Source organism: Homo sapiens, chromosome 14 (genome assembly GCF_000001405.40).
Source record: "Homo sapiens chromosome 14, GRCh38.p14 Primary Assembly".
NCBI classification, from domain to species: Eukaryota; Metazoa; Chordata; class Mammalia; order Primates; family Hominidae; genus Homo; species Homo sapiens.
This window is the reverse complement of record NC_000014.9, coordinates 36652910-36680750: the sequence shown is the minus strand read 5'-3', so window position 1 is coordinate 36680750 and position 27841 is coordinate 36652910. Positions and strand designations below refer to the sequence as shown.

General features: G+C 44.1%; 2 protein-coding genes and 1 long non-coding RNA gene across 8 annotated transcripts in view, besides 9 other annotated features; 2 read left to right on the top strand and 1 right to left on the bottom strand.

The window, feature by feature from the left end:
* SLC25A21 (solute carrier family 25 member 21) overlaps positions 1-2830 on the top strand; it is a 494686-nt gene extending 491856 nt beyond the window's left edge. For 4 of the 5 annotated variants that reach the window (XM_047431871.1, NM_030631.4, XM_011537288.4 and 1 more), the window contains one exon: positions 32-2830. In XM_047431871.1, the coding sequence (XP_047287827.1) occupies positions 32-93 (62 nt within the window). In that variant the 3' untranslated portion in view covers positions 94-2830. The remainder of the gene's footprint in view (positions 1-31) is intronic. The other variant, NM_001171170.2, reaches the window with a different exon arrangement.
* On the bottom strand, positions 1389-23183 carry PAX9 (paired box 9). Of its 2 annotated transcripts, NM_006194.4 has the most exons (5): positions 22851-23183; positions 18658-19054; positions 17228-17854; positions 14150-14289; positions 1389-4553 (listed from the first exon to the last, which is right to left on the bottom strand). In NM_006194.4, exons 2-5 carry the CDS (start codon positions 18659-18661, stop codon positions 4299-4301), a joined length of 1026 nt encoding a protein of 341 aa, NP_006185.1. In that variant the 5' UTR covers positions 18662-19054; positions 22851-23183; the 3' UTR covers positions 1389-4298. The 2 variants fall into 2 exon arrangements, with proteins under 2 accessions (NP_006185.1, NP_001359005.1); NM_001372076.1 differs by lacking the exon at positions 22851-23183 and having other exon boundaries at positions 18658-18891.
* Positions 16891-17401: an enhancer, noted in NCBI's record as "H3K27ac-H3K4me1 hESC enhancer chr14:37132555-37133065 (GRCh37/hg19 assembly coordinates)". NCBI's record gives its function as "activates a minimal SCP1, AML or CMV promoter by ChIP-STARR-seq in naive H9 embryonic stem cells {active_cell/tissue: H9 hESC(naive)}" and the evidence as "EXISTENCE:reporter gene assay evidence [ECO:0000049][PMID:30033119]".
* Positions 17402-17911: an enhancer, noted in NCBI's record as "H3K27ac-H3K4me1 hESC enhancer chr14:37132045-37132554 (GRCh37/hg19 assembly coordinates)". NCBI's record gives its function as "activates a minimal SCP1, AML or CMV promoter by ChIP-STARR-seq in naive H9 embryonic stem cells {active_cell/tissue: H9 hESC(naive)}" and the evidence as "EXISTENCE:reporter gene assay evidence [ECO:0000049][PMID:30033119]".
* Positions 17912-18423: an enhancer, noted in NCBI's record as "H3K27ac-H3K4me1 hESC enhancer chr14:37131533-37132044 (GRCh37/hg19 assembly coordinates)". NCBI's record gives its function as "activates a minimal SCP1, AML or CMV promoter by ChIP-STARR-seq in naive H9 embryonic stem cells {active_cell/tissue: H9 hESC(naive)}" and the evidence as "EXISTENCE:reporter gene assay evidence [ECO:0000049][PMID:30033119]".
* Positions 18960-20157: a promoter, noted in NCBI's record as "-1106 to +92 fragment". NCBI's record gives the evidence for it as "EXISTENCE:reporter gene assay evidence [ECO:0000049][PMID:20941745]".
* Positions 19188-19700: a transcriptional cis regulatory region, noted in NCBI's record as "ApaI fragment (-645 to -138)". NCBI's record gives its function as "may mediate response to retinoic acid and dexamethasone" and the evidence as "EXISTENCE:reporter gene assay evidence [ECO:0000049][PMID:20941745]".
* Positions 19889-19948: a conserved region, noted in NCBI's record as "conserved region; includes polymorphic -1258 G>A site". NCBI's record gives the evidence for it as "COORDINATES:sequence alignment evidence [ECO:0000200][PMID:21443745]".
* On the top strand, positions 22002-26959 carry LOC105370455 (uncharacterized). The gene is made up of 2 exons (XR_943758.3): positions 22002-22207; positions 25293-26959. It is a non-coding gene; the product is annotated as an uncharacterized LOC105370455 (long non-coding RNA).
* Positions 23854-24591: an enhancer, noted in NCBI's record as "H3K4me1 hESC enhancer chr14:37125365-37126102 (GRCh37/hg19 assembly coordinates)". NCBI's record gives its function as "activates a minimal SCP1, AML or CMV promoter by ChIP-STARR-seq in primed H9 embryonic stem cells {active_cell/tissue: H9 hESC(primed)}" and the evidence as "EXISTENCE:reporter gene assay evidence [ECO:0000049][PMID:30033119]".
* Positions 24592-24661: an enhancer, noted in NCBI's record as "active region_8284". NCBI's record gives its function as "activates an Ori minimal core promoter by ATAC-STARR-seq in GM12878 lymphoblastoid cells {active_cell/tissue: GM12878}" and the evidence as "EXISTENCE:reporter gene assay evidence [ECO:0000049][PMID:35858748]".
* Positions 26068-26806: an enhancer, noted in NCBI's record as "H3K4me1 hESC enhancer chr14:37123150-37123888 (GRCh37/hg19 assembly coordinates)". NCBI's record gives its function as "activates a minimal SCP1, AML or CMV promoter by ChIP-STARR-seq in naive H9 embryonic stem cells {active_cell/tissue: H9 hESC(naive)}" and the evidence as "EXISTENCE:reporter gene assay evidence [ECO:0000049][PMID:30033119]".

Below are 27841 nucleotides of genomic sequence, written 5' to 3'. Positions count from 1 at the left end.
TGCAATAAAAAACAGCTCTTTTCTTTTCTAGGTGGTGCAGTGATGCTGCTGGTTTATGAATACACCTATTCATGGCTTCAAGAGAACTGGTGATTGCCTATGAAGTGTTTTTCCCCCTTGAGATAATGGATATTTGCTATGCAGCACCATGAAGAAGAGAGACTATCGATCGGCCAGGTGTATAATTATGAAGGAGAAAACTGTTCAAGAACAAAATCTATTTTAATACTTTAAAAAATGTCTATAGGCAACTTGAGATTATAGTTTTGGCTGTATAAATAAAACTGTGAGAAGAAAAAAATAATATGAAACAATGAGGTATTTAAAGTGAATATAGAAAAATAGCATAGAAATCATATATTTATTTCATAAAATAAATAGAAACTTTGTCTCCTGTGTTCCTCTTCAATGCTTCACAATGAAAATTCATTGTATTGATCAGCATTTTTCCTAAGAGGTCTAGAAATGCTTAAACTATTGAAAATAAATCAAATTATTCAAAGACTGGATTAAAAAAAAGTTAAGCCAAAATTTAAGCAGTTTTTATAATGAATTAAATTATTCCATAAATAATATTTAAAGAGCACAAGAAAAATTTTTTAAAGTGCACTAAAATGACCTTTTAAGAATGTTTAATTTTATGAATACTATGTTAAAATGTAAATCTGTTGGTTTTTTTTAGTAACTATGCACATATCAGCTCTATTTTCCTACATCTACTTTATATCTCATATTGCTGTAAGATAATAAATAGGTATTTTAAAACATTGTTTAAAACAGAATGTTAAAACACTGTTGTTTAAGCATGTTTAAATCAAGGTATTCCAAATCTCTTCTAACACAAGTAGGAAACATGAAATAAAATTTACTTTCCTCCACATAGTTCTCTTTGAAGATAAGTTTTGTTGATGAGATATTGTCATGTTAAATCACAAATTGGAAACACCTTTGGACCCATTTGTCAGCCATCAGTATTTGCATCCAAATACCTTTATTCAGCATGCCTACCTGTGCCATTTTTAGGAAGAATGTATAGAACAGAACTGCATTTTCAGGTTATTAGTTTTAAACGACAACTTCAGGTGGGAAGTCAGCTGTCTGCAGTATTAAAATATGTATGATGAAGGGGAAATGTTCTGAAAAAGAAATACACTTAGCATTTCTAAGGATTACTATACTAACATGTATCAACAAAAATATCTCCTTGGTCTTGATGTAACCAAACTTGATTTTATATCTGCATCCAGAGATGATGCTGATTCAGTAAAGTCAACAAGAATAACTGAAAGTCCATATGACACCTGTCCTAAGTTACTACCGTGGGCTATTTCTACTACGGGGCTATTTCACTAAAGCATTTTGAAAATAAAAAGTAAAAGATAACATGGTAATTATTACTTTTTATTAATTTAGAGCATTTGAAGTATAAAAATAAAAGGCTTTTGACATACTGTATATACATACATAGCCTTCTGTTGTACATCCTTTCCAACGTGTTTTTTAAAATTTATATTTCAGTCCAATATTCAATAAAAGGGTCATTAAAAACAAAACAAAATTGTGAAAAAAAAGAAATAAGAATGTGTCTCTGTTGCACAACTGCATTCTATCCTTGCAGGTAATATTCTTACATCCAATGAGAGCGCTGCCTGCATAGAGGTCATGAAATTGAACCTTTAACCTCTCCATGTGGATCAGATAGAAAAGGATTTCTGAAGAGTGCATTTGCCAGTTTAAAAGCAACACTTTTACCATCTATGAGATAGAGGAAATATGTCAACATTAACCAATAATAATCTTTAAAAGTTAACCCTTTAATCCATCCTATTTTCCTTCTCGTATTTTAAAAAGTGGCTTTAAATCATAATTTTCTTTGAATAGCAAATTGTATCTGATATCTTTTAAAAATTACTCCATGTGAATTCACTGTTAAGACCTAGAGGGAGAAAAGGAAACTTCAATACCATTAATATTAGATTTTTTAAAATACAAGAACCAGAAAAAAATTATAAATAGCACAATAACAAGAGATTTCTTAATTTAGATAAAGAAAATAACATTATTTGCATTTCCACACAAGCAAGTAATATTTTTTAAAGCCCCCTAACAGCCACCTAAAAACATTTGATAAAGAATAGTTCTGTACCTTACATCAGTTTTTCAGATGACAGGAGAGTCCCTGTATGGTATGGTTTTAAAGAAGTCTCCACCAAAATATTGGATTGGATCTTTGTTCCATTCAGTTTATAGTCTATTTTCTCACCAGACTGGGAACTCCAGATGTCAATGGAAGTTTTACAAGATCAAAGGAAGACTATGGCCCTGAGAGTTCATCTGCTCCTTCTGCTTATTCTTCTCCTGAAGTTATAATCCTCTATTTGTAGCACTGAATTTCGGTTGCTTTAGAAATAAATGCAGTTCAAAGCTCTCTATAAGATATCTGCTGTCTGAAAAAAGCAGTCACTCTAACATAATTTGTGTGTCAGAAATCTGCTTACTGTTTACATCCTAGTGATTTGAAAACCTAACTAATCTAGCCATCTGAGTTTTAAACGAAGCCACGAAACCGATGTGGTGGAACCGCATTGCCATGTAGACTGTGCACAGCACAGACCGGAAGAAATTAAAATCACCTAGGGAATCCATCTTCAACATCCATATCCAGTGAGGTGCTCTTTTAGTTATTGCACAGAATTAGTACCAAAAAACCCTCAATATATTAATTTTCCAACAGCTGAATTGTACCAATGTCCTAAAAACATATTTTTAAGCCTATATTGCCAAACAGGAAGAACTTCCTAAACAGAAGGGATTAAAAACTGTAGAATTTTGCCCCAGAAAATCAATTGTTTTAAAATACAACACATACTCACATGCTCACACACACATATACTCCACAACTGTTATTAACATTAAAGTGAAAAATAAATTGGTCTAGAAAGGTTTATGAGTTAAACTGTGTCCTGTAATTTCAGAAATGAATAAAGGGAATTTGTTAAAATTAAATAACATTGTATTTCTAGTACCACCACCAGTTTACCTACATGCGAAACATGCTTCTGTACAACAATGTAAACTTCACAGCAAGCCATTGTTACATTCATTAGAGCAGAATTTTCCATTTTCTTTAAATTACAACATTATTTGGGGCTGAGATTGCTGAACACACAGGTAAGCCAACAATAATAGGACAATTTAGTTTCACAGTGGTTTTCTTAACACAAAGTTCATTTTAAGCATCTTTGCAAAACATTTCACATTAAACTTAAGTTTCTAAGTGACTTCCTTTAGAGCCTTCTTGTTCAGATATTTTCCACCCTCTTGTCTTTATATGCTTAGCATGTGTGTTGTTTGATTAGGTACAAAATGGGAGACTGGCTTGTTTTATCTGTTTTTCGTGTCCTCTGCTGTAGAAATAAAGTGTCCTTCATGAGATGTTGAAGCCTTCACTGCATACACAAAATTTGGGGGCAAGTCCAGGTCCAGGAGCCCGAGCAGCCCACCACCAAACAGAGACAAAGACGTTGCCAGAAAGTCACCTTTGCAAAAAAGAAAGAAAAAAATAGAGAGGGGGTGGGGCTGAGGGGAGGGGAATATCTTATGGAATGAAGACACAAATGCACCATCCAGAGTCCGTATTTACAAACTAATAGAAAATATAAACATTATTGTATTTGGAACCAAGTCAAAACACCAGGGAGAGCTAGATTCAGATATTGCTTGGGTTCTACATATATTTTTCAACAAAATAGGTCATGTCTTAAACAAAGGATCACTCAAACAAGTCACTTATTGATTTGTTTCCTAATGATGAATTAAAGCTTACTTGGTTACCATATTTGATTAGAGGGTGTAGCATAATTTTTTCTATAAGTATTTTCCTTTATTGATTTTGCAAAATCTCAACAATTGCACATTTCAAAAGTTCAGGTTGATTTAGAATAAATATACACATGTGGTTTTACCAAAGACTAGTTTGTAAAGTTCCTTAAACCCTTTGAGGGGTGTAGGTTTCTTTGTTATGTTAAGACAGTATGTGGGCAACACAAATGTCTCATTCAATGCTTATTGTTGCTCTTGTTTTTAAATCCTAAAGTCATGTCAGTTTTTCTGCAAGAGAAAAGTTATGGCAAGAAATATGTAAGTGTCATTAGCACAAAGGATGTGAGTCCGTACAGCCAGCTTTCAAGGCAGAAGGGTTGGAGGGCAGGAGGGGTGGGATGTGAGACCTGGGAATTGGGGGAGGAGGTGCTGAGACAGGGAGACCCGGGTGAAGCTGCTGGAGACGGAATTTCCCATCAGAGCGCGGAAGCCGTGACAGAATGACTACCTTCTCTGGCTGCCTGCATTCCCTTGAACGCCAGCGATGCCGGAATGTCACAGTTGTGGGGAGACAATGAGGTGCCCCCAGCATGTTGCCACCCATGTCCAGCAACATAACCAGAAGGAGCAGCACTGTAGGTCATGTAAGGCGACACTTGGGCTGGGGTAGGGTAAGGAGCCATGCTGGATGCTGACACAAAACTGCCCACAGCTGGGAGACCATTTGGTGCCTGAGAGGAGTAGAAAAGAAGTGAAAAATAATCACATTATAGGAGTGAACATTTCACACGTTCTTAGAAAGAAGCAGAACTTAAGTCTGAGTAAGCCAGCAATGCTCTGACTCTACTCTCCAACTTTTTAAAAAAATTTGAGCTTTATTATATTCTAAAGACATTCACAGTCTTGCCACTTAAACAAACATAATGACAAGATATTATTCTTTCCACAAACATTTAGAGAAAGCTGCAACCAGAAAATTCGTAGTATTTGCTTGTGCCACTTGGAAGTACAGGAAGGAGGTGCAGGGTGAGAAAAGAATTAATGGCAATTAAATACTCTTAGAATCTGTTCGGCTGTCCTCATTGCCTTTGTCAACCTTCCTGGGACTTGGGTTTTGTTTGGCTCTTTTGTTGAGGCACTTGTGACAGGCCTGGTTGGTATAACTTTCATTTTCAGTAAAGAAGGGCACAGACTGCAGCCTGTCATGTTAGAAACGCACAACAAACACGACCTTCGTTAAAGAAAATATAGACCATATTTTAAGAGATCATATTGAAAATGCCCGTTGGACAAAGGACATACAAAAATCAGGCACTTTGTCTTGTAAGGATTTTTAAATGAATATTGCAAGTGCCTTTTCCAGGACTGTTTTATCAGAAAGGAAACTGTCTTTCCCCATATAAAAGAACTGCATATGCCTGGTTTTGAAACTGGAAATTTTGCTTGCAAAGTTTTTGGGTCCTGTGATGTGAGTTTTTAAAAGCCACGTGGATAAATCTCTTGAAGTGAATTTAGAAATTAAAATCTTTGTTTGCAAACACAATGCAGCAGTCCCGGCAGGCGAGCCTGCCGAGAAACCAGTGCTGTCTTGGCATCCAGTGAATTATTGTTGGTATCGTTACTATTAACAACACTAAAAACACCCTGATTTTTAATCCTGATTCTGGCATGAACACTGGGCATCCTTCTTCAAGTAGTCTAATTTTTTCCCCTCAATTTTTATACTCTTTAGAAATAAAGTGTAGATGCTGTGTCCTGATAGTTACATGAATGAACTACCATTTCAATATATTTCCTAGTGAAAATACGATGTAAATACTAGAATTTTATGAGGAAAATTGATTTAATCCTTAGAATTAAGTTAATCAGATGTATGTTAGCTAGGTACTTTTTCCCGTTCAATTGCAACACAGGAATTACTTTCTAATTTAATTTATTTGGGCTATTGTTTTCACTTCTACATCTATGAGAATGCAGTGGTGCGGTCTCAAAAACTATTTTCTCAATGCAGAGTAAATGAATATGTACATGGAATAGAATACATACGTGGGTATGACAACATTACTCATGCATTTCTGACAAAAAAAGAAAAATATTAGAGGGGTTAGCCTTGTGTCTATGCTCTGTAAGAACAAACACCTCATGTTGTGTTTTTCAATGTTGGTTCTTTGAAAATAGGGAAAGAGAAAGGAAGCTAAAGTTTCTTAAGTGTGTCCTATGTCCCAGGCACCAAGAAATATCCAACATATTTTACTGAGTAATGAGTATTAATGAATTATATAGTTCATTATAAATGATTGAGTTTATCATAATTACAAGATAGTGTGTCACAAATACAACACAATGTTCAACTGAAATTAAAGTGTATTTTAAGGGTCCCAGAGAATGATGCTGCTGCATTTTTTAAATCAAGAAACTACCGCACATAACTGTTGAATACAAATGAAATCTTATCCTCTTTTTATACAAGGATATAGATTAAGAGGTTTAGCCATGTACCCTCAACCAATTGGCAAGCCAGTGGCCATGTGTTAAAAAAATTTATCACCCCTGCCCAATGCAGGGTCCTCTGTAGCATATCATACTGTTTTTCCTGAACACTTAAAAGATAGATGCAATTTAATTTAAAACTAGTGCATCTTTTGAGATAACATCTGGTAACAAATTCTTTTCTCTCCTAGAACATGATTCTCATTGTCAGATCCCTTCTAAAAAAAGAATAGTTTCTTCCACTTTTTGAGAATGGCTGATTATGTCTCAAAGGAGACACACTTTAAGGCTCTCAGGAGATGGGTATCAAGATAGAGAACTATCAAATTACAGGGGAAAAAATCTAGTTTTGCATAGAGATTATAGTTTTAATCATTTTTATTTAGAATTGTCCCAATAATCTATGATAAATGAGTTTGGAAAGAAATAAATCCAATTCAGTTATGGAAAGGTGTTCACATCTGTATGTGGTGTTAACTAATATTTTCATTTCCAGCATTGACTAATGTTTTATACTACTGATGCCAATGTGAACTAAGAATAATGAAATAAGAATGCTAACATTAAAATTACTTCTAAAATAATAAAAATCTTTGGCCAACATCATATAGGGACATAAAGTTAAAAAATTTAATATTATACATGGCAGAAACAATGTTCTAGTTAGCAGAACAGAACTGTTGGCGAGTTCTATTTTTCATCACAGCTAAATTTTTCCTACCCATTCTTTTTTCTTTGTATTTTATCTATCATTCAAAATTACAGTTCTCTCTGAAATCCTTGCTTAGTCATCTTCCCTTTTCTTACACCTTTGCCCTTGGAACTCTTGCTCATTGATCTGCCCCATTTACTTGGACTCTTCAGTTGTTTTGTTGCAATGTCTATGGTCCCCTTACATGGACCCACTTGGAAGATGGCCCTCAGAGACATGCTGCATTGAACTTTTATCTTAGATAATGTTCCTGGAATTTAGGGGCAGGCAGGACATTGGATTTAGGCCTGTATTAACTTCTAGTGCCTTATTTATTCCATGATTACATTCATTTATCAAGTGTAAAAAAATGAGCAAATTTTTCCATGTTTGTCCAACTTCTCATACTTAATGCACAAACTTGCTTTATGTCATTATTCTTAGTACTAAATATTTCAAAGTTCTCTTAAATCCACAATATTTATTTAGTATCATTTTAGTGATGCAATCCCTTTGTACTGCAGAAAGACAGGGTAGGAAGAGAAGCTCGGAGATGGTTGATTTCATCTCATAGAAAAAGGCGGCCGGGCACGGTGGCTCACGCCTGTAATCCCAGCACTTTGGCAGGCTGAGGCGGGCGGATTGCCTGAGGTCAGGAGTTCAAGACCAGCCTGGCCAACATAGTGAAACCCCGTCTCTACTAAAAACGCAAAAATTAGCCGGGTGTGGTGGCAGGTGCCTGTAATCCCAGCTACTTGGGAGTCTGAGGCAGGAAAATTGCTTGAACCCGGGAGTCGGAAGTTGCAGTGAGCCGAGATCGCATCATTGCACTCCAGCCTGGGCAACAAGAGTGAGACTTCATCTCAAAAAAAAAAAAAAAAAAAAAAAAAAAAAAGGAAGAAAGAAAGAAAGAAAAAAGAAAAAGGCAAGGAGAGGCTAAAACGTTTGCTTAAAAAAAAAAACAAACATAAATCTTTAAACTTAAACAGTATAAAAATAGCCCTTAGTTTTCTCTCAGGTTAAATTATGACCCTAGCTTGGGGGTCTGGAGAGTTTTGTCTTAATTTTACTTTTTACTTTTGAAGCTCAGATTTATAAATTTAGAAAAAAAAGGAGCAAGTAAATGTGCTTTAAAATTTACCTGCCTCCTGCCACCTTCATTATTTATTCATTTTAGTGACTCAATAAACACATCAATTTTCTCACTATTAATTTTGACACATAACATTAGTAAAAGATATAAATCTCTACTGGGTCAAGTAATTGTTATTTATGAAGCAATCACTGAAAAAGTAAAATTTTCCACCGCAAAGGAAAACAACTACAGGTAGCATTGATGTTTGTTTATTCTTTCCAGTAAAAGAGTACATGACTTAAACGTCCCAAATCGGTTTAATGTTTTCAGTGAAGGGCATGTAATTAATCTGAAAAGCTAGTTAGGCTGAGTAGAGACTACCAAATCTACACTATAAATATAGTGGGAGCAAACATGCTAAATTACTCTATTTAATTGGATTGTAAATATGATTTATAAATCAACCAACATACGGAATCCCCAGGGAAGAGTAAACAAATTTTCCAAATGAAACCCCAGCAATGGGCATGTAATGGAAATCTCATTTTTGAAAATGACTTTACCTAAAGATTCCATAAATAAGACTTCAATCCATCAACTCCTTTCTCATGTGGATCTTCCATGAAAGGCATGAGAATTCTTTCCCCTGAAAGAACTGTGCAAGGGTGCTCTCTATAGCAAACTATCTTCTACCTAAATTTGAGAAGGAGATTTACTAATACAAAGCAAAATAGACTAAATTGCATACCCTAGAAAAAGTAAGTTACTGCTTTGTTTTAATACTTTTAGGAAAAGACCAACTTCATCACACTGACATTAACGGAAATAGTCTAGAAAAAAATATATAAGATGCAATGTAGTTCTTCTAGTTAAGGTTATCACAAGAAGAATGAAAGTACAAGTTTTAATTTCGTTTGTTCCAAATGTTCAAAATACAGATTTACCAATTTTTTAAAAGTAACTTTGGTGAATATGTTGAGGAACTGTATTGGCAGAGGGCTAGATTGTAAACTGTCTGAGGACAGGGACTTGCCTTAATCATCTTGTATCCCCACAAAACAGGATACATCATAAGCATTCCACAACCATATGTATATTTAAGTTAGTATAGGTTTGTGAAAGCAAAAGATGTGACACTGTAGCTTAAAAAACAAAGCAAAAATGTAGGCACCGTTTATCACAAAACAAGCATTACACTTTAAGCAAGCAAAATGAATAAAGCTGTTGAAAAAAGTAAACAGAAGTTCTAACCTAGCCATTTATTACTTGATTTATGGTTATTCCATTTATCCTCCCTCCTCCAAGTAAAGGAAAATACGTTAGTATCAAAACACTTGTGACCACCATAAAACTGGTATGGCAAATGTCTGGCAGTTAGAGGTTATAGACCATTATTCAAATTCTGGGAATTGTCTACTCAACATTATTTATCGTGAAGATAAATGCAAATAACAGTGCCAGGTCCTCTACCCACAATCTGCTTTCACTTATCAGTTCAACCTGGTCCTCTTATGATAAAATGAATTTACCTTGGCTTTATAATAAAGTAGATTTAGCCACAAATAGAGATGTGCTTCACCTAGAATTTCAACCTCGATATCATAAGCAAGAAAAAGTTTTGGATCTGAAAATAAACAAGATTTTCTCTTTTTTGGTGAACTCATTTTTCTGTCATTCTTCCATTTTTAATGCATTATGCAATGACCTAGTAAAACATACCTGACAAAATGAAATGATGGTTATAAATATGGTTTCAACATTCATCCAACAAGATCTTAATTATGCTTACTTATCATATTGTAGATGTAAATGTCTCTAAGAAATGGAAAGCCGCTATTTAAAAGCTTTTCTAAATTTTATAATTTTCCAAAATATTATTAAAATTGACATAGCCTTGAAAAATTTGCAATTACCTTTCCCTGCTATTTTATACAATACATTTTACTGATACATGATCATTAATTTTATTTTGAAATACTACTGGTTAAAATGTAACCAGGTCAAAGAATGTTTTTCATAACAGATAACATTATGAATTTCAAAGACACTCTGCTGGCATTTGCCTAAGATTTCATTGTCTATAAATCATAACTTATTTACAAAAATTAACTTTAATATGAAGACAAATTTAGTGCAATATCATTTATATCTTCCTGAGAATAGTACATCCACAAGGACAGCCAGTTTTTAAAATAATACACTAGAAAATCACATTCAGGATTCTAGAAGACTATCTTCACTTCAAATGCATGTGCAAGTAAATGCTTCATAAGAATTTCAGATTATATCTTTAAATTCAACTATTTTCACAACTTAATTCTGAACTTTTAAAAAGTTCAAGTATTTATAGACTATTCTCTATTTCTGACATCTCAGTCTGTAGCTAGTGTTATATTAAACTTGCCAAATTAATATCTGCAACCCCAAAATGAAGATACCCAAAGCTTATAAATCTGTCACTCCAATTACTTTAGAGTATCAGATATGCAATGTATCTTTCTTGAGACAGTATGCCCATTTGTAGAAAATTTTTCAAGAACTATACAATTATTTATATATAGTTTGAATAAAATTGAGGCATTAATTCATGAAATACTTCCTAAAAGGGCAAATGTATTCCAGTCCCTATGATTCTCTATATAAGGTTTTTTGGCCACTCAATTTTATTCCATTGGAGTTTTATGCTTTCAACAGAAGAGAACCGGCCATCAGGAAGCAGAGAACATTGTTGCCATTCAGAAGTAAATGGAATTAAGTACTTCTAGCCCCAATATTAACTGTGGGTATAAAAAAGCCAAAATAAATATTCTATCCTCAGAGACAATAAGGACTTCTGAATGGCACTGCAAAATATTAATTACAATGTAATATTAATATGTAAGACAAGTTAGAATATTCTACACTGAATTTTCAAAGACAAAAGATAGGTATATGCATAGCTGAAATGTGCATACAGTTTTAATTACTAGGAATCAGGACATCTGTCTTTACAGTTTAAGCTGAAAATAGAAACTCTAGATTATGGTAATCAATAGTATCTATACTCAGTTGCATAGTTTAGCCCTTTGGTAATTCTACAGATGTCCTCAAGAAAAATATGCTTTAAGCTCTATGATTCTGAATTCTCAATTTCCTTCTTTGTATAATAAAATTAAACTAGTATCATATAATTTTGCACTATTTAATAACAATCACAAATGCCCTGAAAGTGGGAAAAATTTTAAAGCTTTTTTTTGGCCAAAGACATTCAAGTTATTGTCCATAATATAAGCAGAGGGAAAAATACGTGTTACCAGAGTTTACATTTTGGTTGAAATATGCTGATTCCATTTTGAAAAATAACTTTTAAAAATAAATCTGCCCTTTGAATATTGGTAAGAGAAATGCACATATATGGGCAACACTTTACCTTTGTATGTTTATAAACAAGTATTAATGTGCAATTTAACCTTACATGAAATCAATGTCTAAAGTTCAAAACTGCTCAGAAAAATGGCACGGCTGAACTTGGCACATCTTCAACATTAAGCACTATTTTGATAATTATCATAGAGTAGCCACTAATTTATATTATTCTTAGAAACTTTTCAGGTTTTGAAATTTTACATCATTTGAATTATCTAACTATTAAATACATTGCAATGCAGAAGATTAGCATATTGCAATTAAGAACTTCGCAAATGTAAGTTTCATATAAATATTTTTATTCTGGAAAAAATAGCTTATTAAGTATTTAGAGCAATATTTATTTGGTTACTTATTTCTTTAAATTATATTCTTTTATAAATGTGATAATTTAGTGATTTAAAATTTAGTATATAAAATGTAATCTATTTTTAATAATCAGAATATCAATTATTTAAAACTTCAAATTTTTTATTTTAAATAATTTGTCAGTTTAGTTTTGAAGTGTATTATAAATTAAGCATTTCCAAACAAATTTCAATGTTAGATCTATAATTCAAGGAAGAGAAAATAAAAATTACTGGCCGGCACGGTGGCTCACGCCTGTAATCCCAGCACTTTGGGAGGCCGAGGTGGGTGGATCACGAGGTCAGGAGATCAAGACCAGCCAGGCCAACATGGTGAAACCCTCTCTCTACTAAAAACACAAAAATTAGGTGGGTGTGGCGGCGCGTGCCTGTAATCCCAGCTACTCAGGAGGCTGAGGCAGGAGAACCGCTTGAACCCGGGAGGCAGAGGCTGCAATAAGTAGAGATCGCGCCACTGCACTCCAACCTGGCGACAGAGCTAGACTCCGTCTCAAAATAAATAAATAAATAATAAGTATAAAGGGTTTTTTTTGGGATTATGACTGCTTGATATATAAACTGGGTTCATCAATGACATGTGGGAATTAGAAACTTTTTCAACTCTATACTTCACAATGTTATTCCAATCAATGATGACCTAATAAAAAGCACTGAGCGCCTATTAAATGCTTGCTTCTATGGTAGGTGCTTTATATACACTCTTTCTATTGTTTGTAACAAAATCTCTTGAAGCTTTTTGACTATGGTCTCTCAGAACAAAGTATACTCTGATAAATATTACTTACTTTTACACGTGTCTTTTTAACTGCCACTTAGAACCACAGACAATACTTAATAAATGCTTACTATGTGCCATATGGTTGCATTATCTCATTGAATACTCATAACATCTCTGGGTTGGGAATATCATTTCCCTGTTTTAAAGATGAAGAAATAGAGACTAAAAATTAAATATTTTCCTAAGAAGTCGTACAGCCAGAGATCGGAGCTCCTAACCATTGTACTATTCTGCCTTTTCTTTGCAAATTACGAATTAAGGGTGGGTCGTTTAGTAAAAGAAAATGACAAACTTCCTTATCATTTCTCATTGACATTCTTCACAGTAGAAACAGACTAAGGAAAAGGGCTCTCTTTCCTTGCTATTTTCTGTGTTATTTGCCATTGGAGAGCCACTAATATGTATTCTGATTCTATTTCAACAAAATAAGAGAGGGAAGAGGAAGTGGAAATGGGATTTGTTACAGAAAATAATGACTAAGATGTTTTTTCAAGTGAATAAGAGGAACAAATTCCACTTAATTTTAAAAGCTGATTTTGACAGACAAAAAAGCATTAAAAATTTTAAGTCTTCAAAATAATAAAAGGAAAACTGAATAGCTTGAGGCTTTGGAATTGAGTTTGGGATTAAGAGATTTGCAAACCTACTGGGGTCTGCTGGGGAAACCTTACATTGCCTTAAGGTCCGGTTTTTTGAGAGTTTTGAACTCTTGACTCCAGGACGGTGATGAATTTAGACTTAAATCTGGGGCTTTTGTTGTGGTGGTTGTTTAGCTTTTCTCGGGGGGAAAATAAAAACACGAGTGTTTTAAATTTTCCTTTGGAGACATGAGGGAGGGACGGAGGGAAAGAAAAATTAAACGGTCCACAGCCAGTCCGTATAATTTGAGGTTTTCTCACTAACTTCCTTGGGAGATTACAATGTGACCTTTAGTCGAGAAAATGGTAGCTTTGTTACGTTTATCTGGGTGCCCCTCTCCGCAGGATTGGCCAAGCGTGTTTGTCCGAGAGCCACCGGAGAGAAAGTCCGAACGTGAGGACCCCGCAGCCGCAGTCGCACCGTGGGGCCGAGACCCGGGGCGCGCGTTTCGCGGGCGTGAAGGCGCGGCTCTGAGGCCCCAGGGCTGCTCCGCTCGGCCCTTCAGAAGCGCCTTCTTTGGTTAACTCTACCCCCAACGAGAGCCGCCGAAAGGGCTTCGGGAGCCGCCTCCCCAAGCTCCCGGAGGCCGACAGGCCTGGAGGCGCTTCCCAGAGCCTCGCCCCGGGGAGCTGCCGCCCCAGACCCCCAGCGCCCTGACGAGCGCTCCCGGCCCCTGGCGGGGGTCGAGGCCCCAGCTCCGCCTTCCAAGGCTCAGGCCTCTGCTTCGCCCCAGTCCACGAAGGATCTGGCTCGTAGCAGCAAAGGGACGCCAGCCTGGGCTTCTCTCGCGGGAAGCTCAGAAAGGGACCCATCACAAAGTGTTCCATCGCCTAAATCCCCGCCGCCACGCGGCCCACCTGGCCTGACCCTCGCCTCCTCACCTGACCGTACTTGGCTTCCTGCTCCAGGGCTCCCTTCTCCAACCCGTTCACCGCGTGCGGGGCGGCGGCGGGGAAGTTGTTGCGGCCCAGGCTGCTCCACTCCTCCACCTTGGGGCTGTGGTAGGGGGAGCTGTCGCTCACTGATGGAGAGAAGAGAGGGTGTCAGGCCGGAGGCCCAGCCCGCGCGCCCCACTCTTGAGACGGGACCCAAACCCGCGACGGAGAGCTGGAGGGCTTAGACCTTGGGTCGGCTCCCTGCCCTTGGCCTCCCGAGGGCGCTGGGCCCAGCCGCGACCTCCTGTGCTTCCAGCCCAGGGCCTGGTGAAGTTTTACTCCCCTCAGAGTAGGCCTTTCCAAATTCTCTGACCCACGCCTGAGGGAAGACACTTTTTTCTTTTTCAACCGGTTTTTGATTTCCCTTCGCCCCTTTGCTCTCCCAGGGCAAAGGAGTGGAAGAAACCTAAATCGGAGAAGGAACCCTTAAGGCTGCACGTGCCGTTCTCCACCTCCTCATTCTTAACCCAAGGCCGACTGGGGGTTGACAACAATTTGGCAGTGGGGCTGGCTGAAAAGAAAGAGAGGAGCGTCTGACCTAAGGGTGCCTGCACTGGTGCTCACTGCACTGTGGGGATCTGGTACTTATGTCAATAGAGAACAAAAAGACCTGCACTGTCCTTTGCAAACAAATAACTAAATTATTCCCACGATACAGTGCAAAATATACATGCACAGATTTCTGCTTTGTGTGTGCATAGGGCTCCCCTTGATACACTACCTCTACACATTACATATGTGATATGTGCATATGACTTAAAAATAAATCTTGCAATTACCACTATACATGCCATGGGTGTTAGTGGCAGGGTTTTCCTGAAAGAGTTTAAAAAATGTATATACAAGAAAGAGAAAATGAAATAGGTTAAGAAAATGAAAGTAAAATTAAGTGTTAAGGTGTAATGCCATCAGTTATTCTTTCTGTTCTTGGTGGAGATGCAAAGAAAATTGTATGGTGTAAAGTAATTACTATAATACCTGGGGTTGAGAATATTGAATTATTGGCATTTTTCAGTGACCAGGTATAGTTTCAAAGAGATATGTGAAGGCTACAAACAATGTATGTTTGTCTTTGGGTCCTATGGGTGGAGGAGTGGTTTGGCAAAGCCATTGTAACTTGATTTTAAACACTTCCATCTAACACAGTGCTTTAAAAGAGTGAGCATTTTTGTAGAAATGATCATTTTTATAATCACAAATGTGTCACAAACTGGGTTGTTTAAAGCTGGCATCCAAAATCACAATAATATCTGAAAGGAAAAGTTGCTCCTTTCCATTCTCCAATACTTTCCCAACTGACATTTGCTCTGATGGTAGGATCCCTAGGCAGGAAAAGTTTTCTTTTAAACTCTGTCAGCCTTTTTTTTTTTTTTTTTTTTTCACTATGTCTCCTCCTCTACCACCCCCAAGAATTAGATTGAGTCCCATTTGCACCAGGAAACTGTGTTTTGGTCCAGAACTGCCTGTCTGTCTTTGCCTTCCCAGACAAAAGGCAGTCGGTGGGCACAAGCTTGAAGTTATCTTAAGAAATTGAGATCCCCCTGTGAGCCCCCATTTCTGCTGATCTCACACTTTCCCATGAACAGGGGCTTCCTTTAAATGTCAGTGAGGTCAGTTTATCCTATAAATCAAGGGCAAACTCTCTCCAACTATGGCTCCAAGTAGCTCCAAATAAGACAAAACTGGGCTCTTGTAAACTTGCAGTCAGAAAACAAGAAGATGAGAAATCAGAGCCCTGCTTTAATTACTTAAAAAGATAATTGTGCCAATGTGGTGGCAACCAAGAAAGGCAGGAAGTAATTAAAGAAACTATTTCCCCCTTTCCTATTTAATTTTTCCTCTACACTTTTAAAACTTTAGGCTGAGAAATTAAGAAAGTGGACTATCTACACATTATTTAAATTCTGCATCTAGGTCATTCAGACTTTCTTTTCTCCCTACCAAGAAAAAAGTTAACGCCTTAAAAAAAAAAAAAAAAACTCAGTAAAAGAAAACAAACTCAGGTCTCCTGCGGAAGCCGGACTGGGCAGGAGGGCTCGGGGAATCCTTCTGACAAGGCAGAAAGGACGCTTAGGACTAGGCAAGGTCAGGGGTGAGAAAGGAAAGAAACAGTGGGGTGGCACTGCTTAAAACATGCAGGAACTAGATAGATATCCACTTGCATTCTCGGGGACCCGGGGACCCGGGGACCCCAAAGGAAAGTGGCAGGCTCAGGGAAAACTGAAAAGAACAGTAAAAGGACAGCATGGAATTGCCTGCATTTTATCTCCATCACTGCAGTGGCTGATGCCACTTCCCTTCCTAAGATATATACAGTGAAGTCTGTTAAGTTAGAAAGTGAATGGAGAGAGAAAGAGAGAGAGAGAGAATGTGAATATGACTTCGTCTGGGAATGAGTTACATGCAAGTTACTAGTAGTAACTTCGGGACCTCCATTTCCGAGGAAAATGAAGTGAAGCATAAGAACGAAACCAATTAGGTGACATTTGAACTTCCTGCCTGAGCAAATTTGGCCTGATTACCAGAATCGGAGAATACTTCAATTTCCAAGGCGTGCTGGACTCCTCCCGGCCAGACTTCTCCCGGCCGTAGTGATCCCCAAGCAAGCTGCTCTGCCCACAGCGGAGTCTGCAGCCGGCAGCCCCAAGCAGGCTCGGGCCTCCCGGGCTGCGCCCCAAGTCCAGCCCCGGCCGCACTCTCCAAGTGAGCAAGCCGGGCTGAGGCTGCCTCGGCGCGAGAGGCGGGGGAGGGTGGAAAATGCGAACCATGTGTTGGGGATGGGGGGATGTTATGGGTCTGGTAGTTTGAGATGAGGCAGAAGACTGTGTGTGGCAAGGAAACCAGGGGCATGAGTTTCAAGTTAATGAGATCAGAACACCCCCTAGGAAGACTCCTTACGTTTCCAAAGGAAAAAGCCTCAGGTGGTGGGAAAGACAGTGTCCCTGAGGCTGCAGATACTGGGACCTCCGCGAGAGTGCGGGGGCAGACGCTGCACATCCACACGCCCAGCCTCTGAGCCCCTACCTTGGTCGGTGATGGAGCGGATGCCCAGGATGTCGGTGACGGAGTGCGAGGAGGGCCAGGTGCGCGGCATGGCCACCGAACCGGGGATGGCAGGCACCCCGGGTGGCGTGGGCACCTTGGCGGCCGCCGCCGTGATAGGGCTGGGGTACGAGTAGATGTGGTTGTAGGGCAGCGCTGGCTGCGGCGTCGGCTGGTGCTGCTTGTATGAGTCGTAATGACCCTGCTGGGCCAAGTTGCCGATCTTGTTGCGCAGAATGCGGCTGATGGAGCTCACGGAGGGCACATTGTACTTGTCGCACACGCCGTCCGCCAGCAGGCGGTCCCGGATCTCCCAGGCGAAGATGCCGGGGTCTCTCTGCTTGTAGGTCCGGATGTGTTTCACCACGGTGGGGGTAGTGACCCGGGGCTTGCTGCCCCCGATGGCTCCTGGCAAGATCGAGCCCGTCTCGTTGTATCGCGCCAGGATCTTGCTGACGCAGCCGTGCGAGACCCGTAGCTGGCGGCTGATGTCACACGGTCGGATGCCCAGTTGGGCCAGTTCCACGATGCGAAGCCGGATGGCGTTGGGCAGCGGCCTCCCGTTCACGAACACTCCTCCCAGCTGGTTCACCTCCCCGAAGGCTGGCTCTGCAAAATGAACACACAGCGCGCAGGGACGCGCACCCGCTGCTTGGGACAGCTGCCTGCCACTGGGCCTCCCTACGCATCCGGGGACTGGGCGAACGCACCCGTCCCCTACTAACTACTGGGGCTGTCCCCAAACCATATGGTCCCTGAACATAGCCGAACGGCCCCAAACCGTCACTGTCCAATCGGACCCCCTCCCTCATTCCTGCCGTGCCGGAGGCCCCTACGGCCAAGTAAAGTGGTGAGATGCCGGGCCTCTCCGAGCGTTCAAAAGTCTCCCGAAGCAGGGGGAGAAATCGGTCTTGACGCCTGAACGTGCTCCTTCTCGCCTGCTCCTCACTAAAGTCCTTGAGCCGCTCCCTCTCTCCACCCATCCCATCCCCAGCGTTCCTTCTGGAGACCCGGCCAGTTAAACAAAGTCTAGGGGAAGCTAGAGGGTGTTTTATTTGTTGTTGTTTGTTTTCTTTTCTTTTCTTTTCCTGTTTTGTTTGCATGTGTGCGCGCGTGTGAAACAAAACTTGGTTTGCTACTCGGGCTGAGGGGCTCGCTGATGCCACAGCTCCCTTCTCTTAAAATCAGAAAATGGCATCAACAGCCACCCAGTAGCCAGCGTTCACATTGAACTGCTGTGCGCCGCTGACCCTTAGCGTGTTCCTACAACTTGTAGGAACACGAGCAAAGTCAATAGAGAATGTGAGCGCCTAGTGGCGCGCGCCCTCGCGCTCCCTCCCTCCCTCCCTCCCTTGCCCGCTCGCTCCCTCCCTCCCTTCCCGGCTCTGACAGAGTCCCCCGCCGCCACTCACCCATTGCTCCGAGCAGTACACCAACCCGGCCCCAGTTCCGCACTCCCAGACAGAAACTTTCCGCACCGCCTCAGTGGCCCGGCCTGTTGCTATCCCGGCCGACCGCCGGCGCCTCCGCTTCTTCCCAGGAGGAGGAGGCGAGAGGGCAAAAGGAAGAAGTAAAAGGAAGTCTGTGCCCCGATGAAAGAGGCTTGAGTTCTGCATTTCAATCTAAGCAGCAACGTGGGCTGGGCTGAGCAGGGCAGGGCGGCTCCGTCTATCACTCACTGGGGACACGCCCTAAAAGGGGCGGGTCCGAGGGCAAGCTGCATGGTGATTGGTGCGGGTCGGTGAGCGACAGCGCAGTCCAGGAAACTCCTTCCGCTGTCTCTTTCAGGCTAGCTCCCCACCTGGGTGACTAAATACAATGAAAATGGGTGTTTGACATCTTCCCAGAAGCGGCACAAAAAGACAGCAAAATCAGGCTGGTAAAATGCTGAATAAACAAATGAAAGCGTTTGGTCTGAATGTGAATGACTCGAAGGGAGAAGGGGCCCGAGGAGACCTCCTCCGGGGAACGATGGACATCTCAGAATTGAAGTTAAGGCTATAGGTGGGAGGCGGGCGCCACCGTGCACAGGGGTGAGGGAGTTGTCTTAGCAAAATCTGTCATGCGGGCCTCTGGGGACTGTCAGGAGAGGATCTGTGTCACCTGCCGATTCTACCTCACTTCAGTCCATGCCAGGTGGCGAGAGCGCAGGTGTGAGAAGATAGGCCGGCCAAAGAAACCAGGAGGTTGCGGGGAGCCCGAGCCACAGGTGGGGGCCACTGTTAAGGCCAGGGAGGTTCCTCCTACCGCCAGCTTCCTGCGGCGACCCCCCAGTCCAGGTGGACCGGCCAACCACTAGCCACACAGGCTCGAGGCACGGGCCACGCCGTGTGCGGGGAACTGAACCACAGGCGGCTAACGCTAGCGCACAGCCCCAAGTCGACCAATTGCCAGTGCGTGGGGCACTCACTACGGAGCCCAAGGCTCTGCCACATTCAGCCACTGTCCTGGGCCCCTGGCCCTCGGTGGCAGCGTTTGTGAGGGTTCTCCAAACCAGCGAGCCCTCTCGAAAGAGTTTTGTTTAAATATGAAAGAGACTTAGTCCCAAGACAGTGGACACCGACGCTGCACATGGATGTAATTCCCTCGTCTTCCATTAAGCTCCAGAGGCCCTGTCGTTCTGCCTACTTCTGAATTTTCACTTTTATTCACTGTAAGTCTAATCTAAAGTGTACCGTATGCTTTTTTGCAGCCAAAGTTATTAATATTTGCAGTTAGGGTTGTGGAGAATGTGAATCAAAATAATAAACAAGAAGAGAAATATTTTCGTGAATTTGGGAGTTTGTACTGCTTGGGGTCGTGAACTCTGTTACTGCTACTTGACAATCCAGAAGGCTCCTTGTGCACACAGGATTCAGGCTGCTTCCCCAACAGTCCCCAGGGATGTGTGTGGCTGCGGTCTACACCCAGAGAAGCTGACTGGTCCCAGATCTCAGGTCAGTAAGTTGCAAGAACCCAGGAAAAAACTATGATCAGCCATGCTTCTGCAAAGGAACAGATCTCCAGATTCCCACTTCTATGGTTAGGATGCACTCTAAATTCAAAATTACCTAACAGAATGGAGGATGTGAAAGGTAAAGATGAACTAAAACACCACTCTTTAGAATCGGAATCTTGGGGGAAATCCCACAACTAGACATACTTGAACTTGTCCCTTTTTGTTGGTTGGTTTCAAATGTTTAAAATCTTCTTGAAGTTTGACTTGATAGCAATTTCAGCCTGGTCTGACCTCCAATACCTGTTGGGTGACATCGTGTGGCACCGCCTGGCATTTTTACACAAGGAGAGCCTTCGGAAATCTAAAGATTTTAGAAGCAGCAGCTCCTTCTTAAGGCTGGTAGATAAATTAGTTGAGACTTTGCCGCATCGTAGGGGAGCTTATGACTCTGCCTTAGGCTTGCGGGAGGGAATGAACATGCCCGGCAACTTGACCAGGAAGGAATCCTCCTCCCCCCTCACAGACAGGCAGTGAGTATCGACCTCTGCGCCAAATCTGCTCTACTTCCGTGCACCCAGGGAAAATTTGCAGTCTGCAGGGCTGCTAGGCGGGTACAAGGATGTTCGCATACGAACAGGCAAGACCTCATGTCCCGCGGGGGGTCTGGGGACTCTGCGAGAGCTTTAGCAGTTCTGCAGCACCAGCCTAGACTGGTTCAGAAACTGATATGGTTTAGAGCTCTGGTTATATGGAGGTAACATACAACTCCCTCTTGTTCCTACCAACTCCTTCAGCTGCCACACATCTTCCCAGTTCTCACATAGGTTCAATGCCATCTCTCCCTTTCCACCTGCTGAACTTGGCTGTGACCATGTGGCCTCAGCTGCTGCGGATCCCCTGGGCGTGCCAGGGGTAGCAACTCAGTGGGCAGGGGGCCTGTCCGCAGCTCTGGCGGCTCCCCGCAGGCCCCACTCATGCCGGCGGTTGCAGGTACTGGGTGCTCTTGGCATTCTCAAGAGCGCAGGAAGAGTCAATTTTAGGTGTTTTGGGCCACTAAGTATCCGCGGCAAGCCGAAGACCCCGCTCTGGGAGCAAGAGAAGCCGAAGCTGCAGACAGGGTCAGCGGGATCCCAGCAGAAGAGGGTGATGCTGAAGCCTTCCCGGGGCGCGGACCGAGTGCTAGGGCGAGGTAGTCAGCGACCCGCTGAGACCGACCGAGAGACGACGGATCTGAGGCAGAGAAAGAGGATGAAGGAAGGAAAAGAGAGAACACTAAGGTCTGGTCAGTCCCGATGAATGTAAGGATGCAGGACCTAGAACAAGAACAAGGGTCAGCTGGAGTCTGCCGCCTGGTTACACTGCTCACTCTGGACTCAGAAGATCTCAAAGAGATCGGAAGAATTTCGACTAAAAGGAGAAATTTAAGACCAAAACCAAAACACCAGTAAGGCCTGCAGCTGGCTCAGGCCAGGGAGAAGCCAAAAAGCCTTTCCCTAGCCGCGTCGAGGCCTCCTCCGAGGGGCGACTCGCTCTCTGGATAAATATTTACTCAGTGGGAGACTGGAAGCCGGGCCGAGAGTGTGAAGGAGGGGGCTACACTGGGTGGGAGGAACCAGTACACTCGGCGCTGGCCGGATCCTTGTGTACACCCGCCCAAGGGGAGCAGGGGCCGGGGACTCTGGGGGCGACTCGGCCCAGGCGTGTGGCTGGGGAAGCTTTAGACCCCAGCATCGGATCGACCGGACTCCGCCCTGCCCTCGCGGACCCCAGCCAGATGCTGTGAAGTCTCCATAAATCTGTCAGCCGTCCCAGTGCCGCGGGCAGTCACCTGCGGCGCCCCCTTCCCGGCGCTAGAGCGGCCCGCGGAGAGACGCGGAGAAGCAACGGGAATCTAGCCCGGCAGACTGTACCCGAGGGCTGCCGAAGTCAGACCCAAGCACTACAGGTTGTGCGGAACGCGAGGACCCCTCCCTGTATCCCCAACCTGGACCGACCCCCGGAAGCCTGCTCCTCCGGGTCTACAGGTCAGTGATGACTGTGGATGGGAGGATAGGGCGAGAGTTGGGGGTGCGTATGCACGGGAGAGAGGTTGTTCTATTCCGAGTTGCAGTTATGACAAGCAGAGCTAGCAGAAAATATTAAGGAGCTGATTCCTCCAACTTGCCCCCTGCTGGGGACAGGACCCCCCCCCCCCAAGCGAGGCCCAGGCGACGGTGCCCGCCTCTTGTCCACTCGGAGGAGTTGCAGGGATTGTAAGACAGCCAGAGTCCGAGGTCCGGGACTGGGATTTTCATAGTGCATTGACTTCTAGCCGTCTGGGGGCAAATGCAGTAAAGGCAAGACCCTTCAGGGTCAGTTGGGGCATTGCGCGCGGTGCAGAGAGAAAAACAAGCCCAGCTTCTCCAGAACTCGGCCCTCTGCTATGTCCCCGTCTTGCAGGGTAAGCGGCCAGCTGAGTTTCCCTGAAACTGCAGCGGCAAGTGACAGCCAGAAGCTCGCCCCGCGCCCAGGGCGAGGGAGGGTCCGCCCTGGACCGCTGGCCCCTGCAGGATCTGCGCTGCGGGAGGGGATGGCGGCTAAAAGGAGCAGTCGCGGGGATTGGGGATGGAGACAGCCCTCAGGGGTCCTCTGGTGGGAGAGGAGGACAGGAGGCGCCCGCACACTGACCTGCGGCCTGGACTTGGAGGGACTGCGGACGCGCTAGCCCAAGGAGAAGCCGCAAGCGCACGGAGAGGAGCAGAGCTCGGCCGGAAGATGCTCGGAGAATAGCCCGGCAGCCTCTCCACCTTCTCATCAAGGAGCCTCACGGTTCAAGAGTCTCTCCGCGGCTCCACTAGGTAGCTAGAATGGCAGCGGGTTGGGTCGGGCCCGAGCTCGGAAATGCGTCCCGGCGTTCTGCGGTCCGACAGCGACACGACCGGAGCCCTGCGGGAGGTGGGATCAGCCCCACGGGCTGCGAGCGCTCGTCGCCCGCTTTCTCCTTGCGAGAGCAGGGGAGGGGCCTGTTGCTGTCTGAAACCCGCTTTTAATTCTCCGCCTGCCTGTTTCCGATCACCCGGGGTTGGTTTTTCTGTTTGCTCACTCCTTCTATTACAATAAAAACAATCGACATTTCTTTTCAGTTTCCCCATATTAGCGTCACTCAGTAATTGTTCCCCACCCCCCCTTACCCCACGCGTTGAAGGCGAGCGGGATTGCTGGTATTCGCGCATTTGGAAGTTTTCCGAGCATATAAGCAAATCTTTCCTAAAGACTTTAAAGTAAAAATAAATAACGGCCCGAGAAATTGCCGTGACCCTAACATTACTTTCTGAAAGCAAATTACACCCATTTTTCAGTTTTCAACAGCGGAATTGCTTTCAGAAGGACAGTGTGGAGCTCCATGTGATATGGTTACGTTTGTTTATTAAATCTGCAAATGAAAGAGAACATGTTTTAATGCACGGGGCAAAACTCCGGGCTGCGGGATTGCAAGAGCGAACAAGGATCGGATCCCAACAGAGGAAGGGGGGAGCGGCCTAGGGGTAGGGAGGGGTAGGGAGGGGCAGGAAGGTCCCTGAGGGGAGGCTGGGCTGATCTAGCCAGAGGGAGGGGGATTTCGTCTTGCCAGGGTTGCAGCATTAGCAGAAGTTGCGCAGCTTCGTGAGGAGGACGCAGTCCGTGGTCACTATACAGCCATCAGCTGCAGCGCTCAGGAGAGGTGCAGCTGCGTGTGGGAAAAGCAAGATTGCCGGTTCTTCAAGCACAGCTGTTTGAGACCCTGCCCTCAGGTGTCGGCCTGAGGGCTTTGGGGCTGCCTCCTTTCAAAGACCTTATTGGCCTAAATGCTGTCTGGAAAAGATAAACGAGAACCAGGCCGCGCCTCTAAACTCTGGTTTCGGGACTCACATGAAGCCCTTCGGGGGCTCCCACTGTGGTCTGAGTTATGTTGAATGCAGCTTTATTGCAAGGTCCAGGTTGCCTGCAGGCTGCCAGGCCCAGCCCGCTGTACTCTGATCAGAGCCGGACGTCTGCCCTCTAGGCCCCAAGCTTCGGCTGGGCCCGAACTGCTGACGGAGGGACCAACCCACTCTAGACCCAATTTCTGGCTTCCGAGGAGTCTGAATCAACTCGCAGGCCGGAGTCATCTTGACCGACTCGAACGTTCTCCCATTTTCAGTGACCCAGGGCTCACTCACTGCGCGTTTCCTCTAGGTGGCATGATGCCCTTGCGAGTCGCCCCCAGTCCTGTGGCGTCTGGCGAATCCTCGCACCTGAGCAGCGGACGGGGCGATAGGGGGTTGGTGCGCTGCAAAGTCGAGGAGCTGCGTTTCCAGCCTGTCGCCTTCCCCGAGTTCATCCCGCCACCCACCAGCCCCCGTGCCGACTCCGAGAGCGGAGACTGGTGTTGCACAGTCCTAGCTAATCCCTCGAAAACAGGAAGCGGAGGCTGGGAGCAGCGGGTTAGCGTCGGAGTCGCAGAAAATTTCCCGCAGTCTTCGAGTCCCCCAGCCGCCTCTCCCGGCCACCGCACCTTGTCACAGCGCCACCTATAGGAGCCAGATTAGATCGCGCACCCACTGTAGTTTTTGACAAGGTTGGGAACCGCCTTTGAAAATCCACAGAATTTCAAAGCCCGATATTTTTGGTTCCCCCTTTCAGATCCCTCTGCACCCTCAACTCTCCATTGACCCCAAGGCTCCGCATCATTCTCCACCATGCTCCAAGGGAAACCCGATCATGTCTTTTCACGATTCACCGAAAACCCATCTTCTATGCCCTACCGGGCGGATTCTCTTGCGGCCCCCAGGGGCTACTCAAGGACACTGGTTGTGAGCTGTCCTTGCGTCAGGGCGGGAGAGCTGGAGACAGCAAAGAAGCTCTGCAGGGAAGGGTGTGGGGAGTGATGGACCCATTCTTCTCCAGTTCATCCTACCATTTGTTGAGGGCTCACGTCAAACACAACAACCATACCAAGGAGGTATTATTCTAGTTCCCATTTTACAAGAGACATTAAATAAGAACACAGAAGACACTTGGACTAAGCGAAATCATATTGTTAATTAACAGGGGGAAATCTGAATTCCACCATGTCCCCATTGTTGTTCTCTCCATTTCCCTAATCTGCAGGAGCAGCTCACGCTGGAGCCCCCAAAGAAGCCCCCATACCTCAGGTGTCTACACTGAAAGTGGACACTCTTCTACCCACCTCCACACTTTAGAAGACAGAATGCCGCCCAAGGCCGGACCCAGAACCCGCAGCAAAGAGGATCTGCAACCTTGTCCTCCTCACTGCTGGCCAAGAGTCCACGCCGCGGAGGTCGCAGCTGACTAGGTGAGGGCGGGAGACTGCCTGCTCGTCTCCTCCTGGCCCCGGCTATCCAGGGCGTCGAGGTGAGGTCCGCAGCCACTCGGGCGGTGCACAACATGTTCCAGGAGTCCCGCGGCCGAGCGGCGCACAGAGGAGCAAGGAGAGGACCGGAAGAACCGTGCTCTTGGCTGCAATTTGTTTCCAAGAGTGCCAAGACATGCCCGAGACTCTCAGCGCGCTCTCAGAGCATCAACTCAAGCACCGAAAAAATCTACCTTTGCCTTCCCGGGGATTCATTCTGGGGTATGCCTGTGTGTGTTTCTTTTTAAGACCACTATAGTGGGAACAAACCAGGAGGTGCCGAGTTGCAATAAAATTAGAACCCATAATTAACACAGCTAGCTGGGCCCAAGTGGCTCGGAAGTGCACGTAGTGGAGTCAGTTGGCCTTCCTCCGCGGAGTCCGGGCTACAGTTGCGTTTTCTTTCTTTGGAATGCATCTTGGAGTCAGGATCAACTCCTTTCATTCCCTGCAAACAGCGAATAAATAAATCATTTCATTTATAAAAAACGATAACGATAAAGAGATTTCAGCGCACCCTGCGAGAGGTGGTAGTCAGGAGAAGAGAAAGCCCAAAGGTTGTTAGGTGCAGGGGTCACTTTTACTGCCTTGGGAAAATGCATTTTAGCCGCGGAATTCGTTCCGTGGGGATTGGGGGTGCGCCTCCGAGGCGGGCCCGAGGGCCAGAACTGCGAAATCCCAAGTTAGTGTTTTCAGGTTTCGGACAAAAACTGCGATCCATACGAGGACCTTACTGTTCGCATCTTGGCGGGGATCACGAAAGCTCTACAGGCCAGCAGGAACCTTGCGGCTAGCGGGGGCATTCCTGCAACCTCCTGCGCAGGGATCCTACGCCTCAGGTCTTCTTACTGGCTGGGGTTGGCCCTCCCGGGAACTGGGCAGGCTCTAATAGGCCCCTCTACCTGCAGGCTGTTTGCTCCAAGAGGCGGATTTGTGGGGTCCAGGGCGAACCCTTTCCTCTTCCCTTTGCCAGTCAGTGCTCCTCCTGCCTAAAAATTTTACCCTCACCAGGACCAACGAAAGAGCTGACCTCTTACCTCCTCCACAGCGGCTGTGGCTTTCTAGACAAGCTGCGTGTCTGAGCCACTGGGAGAACAGAGTATAACCACCTCTCCATGGACACGATTGGAAGGCAGTTCTAGGAAAATTGTTAAAGGACCCAACAATGTTTTCAATGGACACACAGAGGCTAAGGAAGAGAAATGTAAAAATGAAATAAATATAATTTCAAAAGTGTTTAACTCTTTAATAAGCCAGGAGGGGTAAAACACAGTACCATCTTTGCAGAGTAAACCAATTTTGCCAGCAGGTACAAACTGTTGTGTTTTTTTCTAACGAGAGAGGGGGGGAAAAGGCTGCTTGCATATGATTCACATTTTTCATCAATAAAATGTTTTTAAATTAATATGAATTAGCCCATTTTTTTTGGTGGGGGCGGGAATCAAGCAAGTGTTGCTGGTTTTCTTCAACAGATGCACTGTCCTTTGCACAGAGGTAAAAAATAATTTGTAAAGTGTTGTTTATTCAGTGAAGCTACCTACACATTTTTAAATCTTAAAGATGTTTAAGTTCATAATGTCATTGCGTAATCCATTTTGGTAGTGCATTTAATAAAAATCATATTACTGGCAGGACATTTAATAAAAATCAGACTAATTAGCAAGGAAGGGCATAGTAGACAAAAAGGACAAAGAAATCTCTTGAGCAGAAAATTTAGAAAAATAAAGAAGGGTTTTTAGACAATACTAATCCTTCGTGTATTGTTCCAATTCCTACAGTTCTGTTTACTGCAGTTCTTACGCATTAAAGTGCTACAGTTTGGGTTCTGTTTCTATGCCATATTCAGACTGTAAATTTAATGGCTGCAGGGGGGAGAGGAAGGATTGCAAAACCAGAGATTAGCACCAGAAATGCTGGACCAGTGTCCTATGCATGATGCAGCCATACCACTGAGGCTACCATTCTTGTCAGACTCCTAGGGTGGATATAGAGGATTGGGGAAGAAGGCTAGTTCTATTTCCTGCAGGATCAAAATGCCAGCCCAATACATTGGCTGACCAGTGAGCCACTCCTTAGAAGGATAGAAAACCAAGGTCATGGCCACAGGGGACCTTTGAAAAGCCCCATATCACCTTCCTGCAGGACCAGAGGTGTGAATCTGATGTTCTGGCAAGCTGACAACACAGATTCCCTTAGCAGTTTTTATTGCCTGAGTGATTCATATTCAATTCCTCTGGGATTGAGTTCTGCCCTGCCACATGTTTCCATTCTTGGAGACACCCCTTTC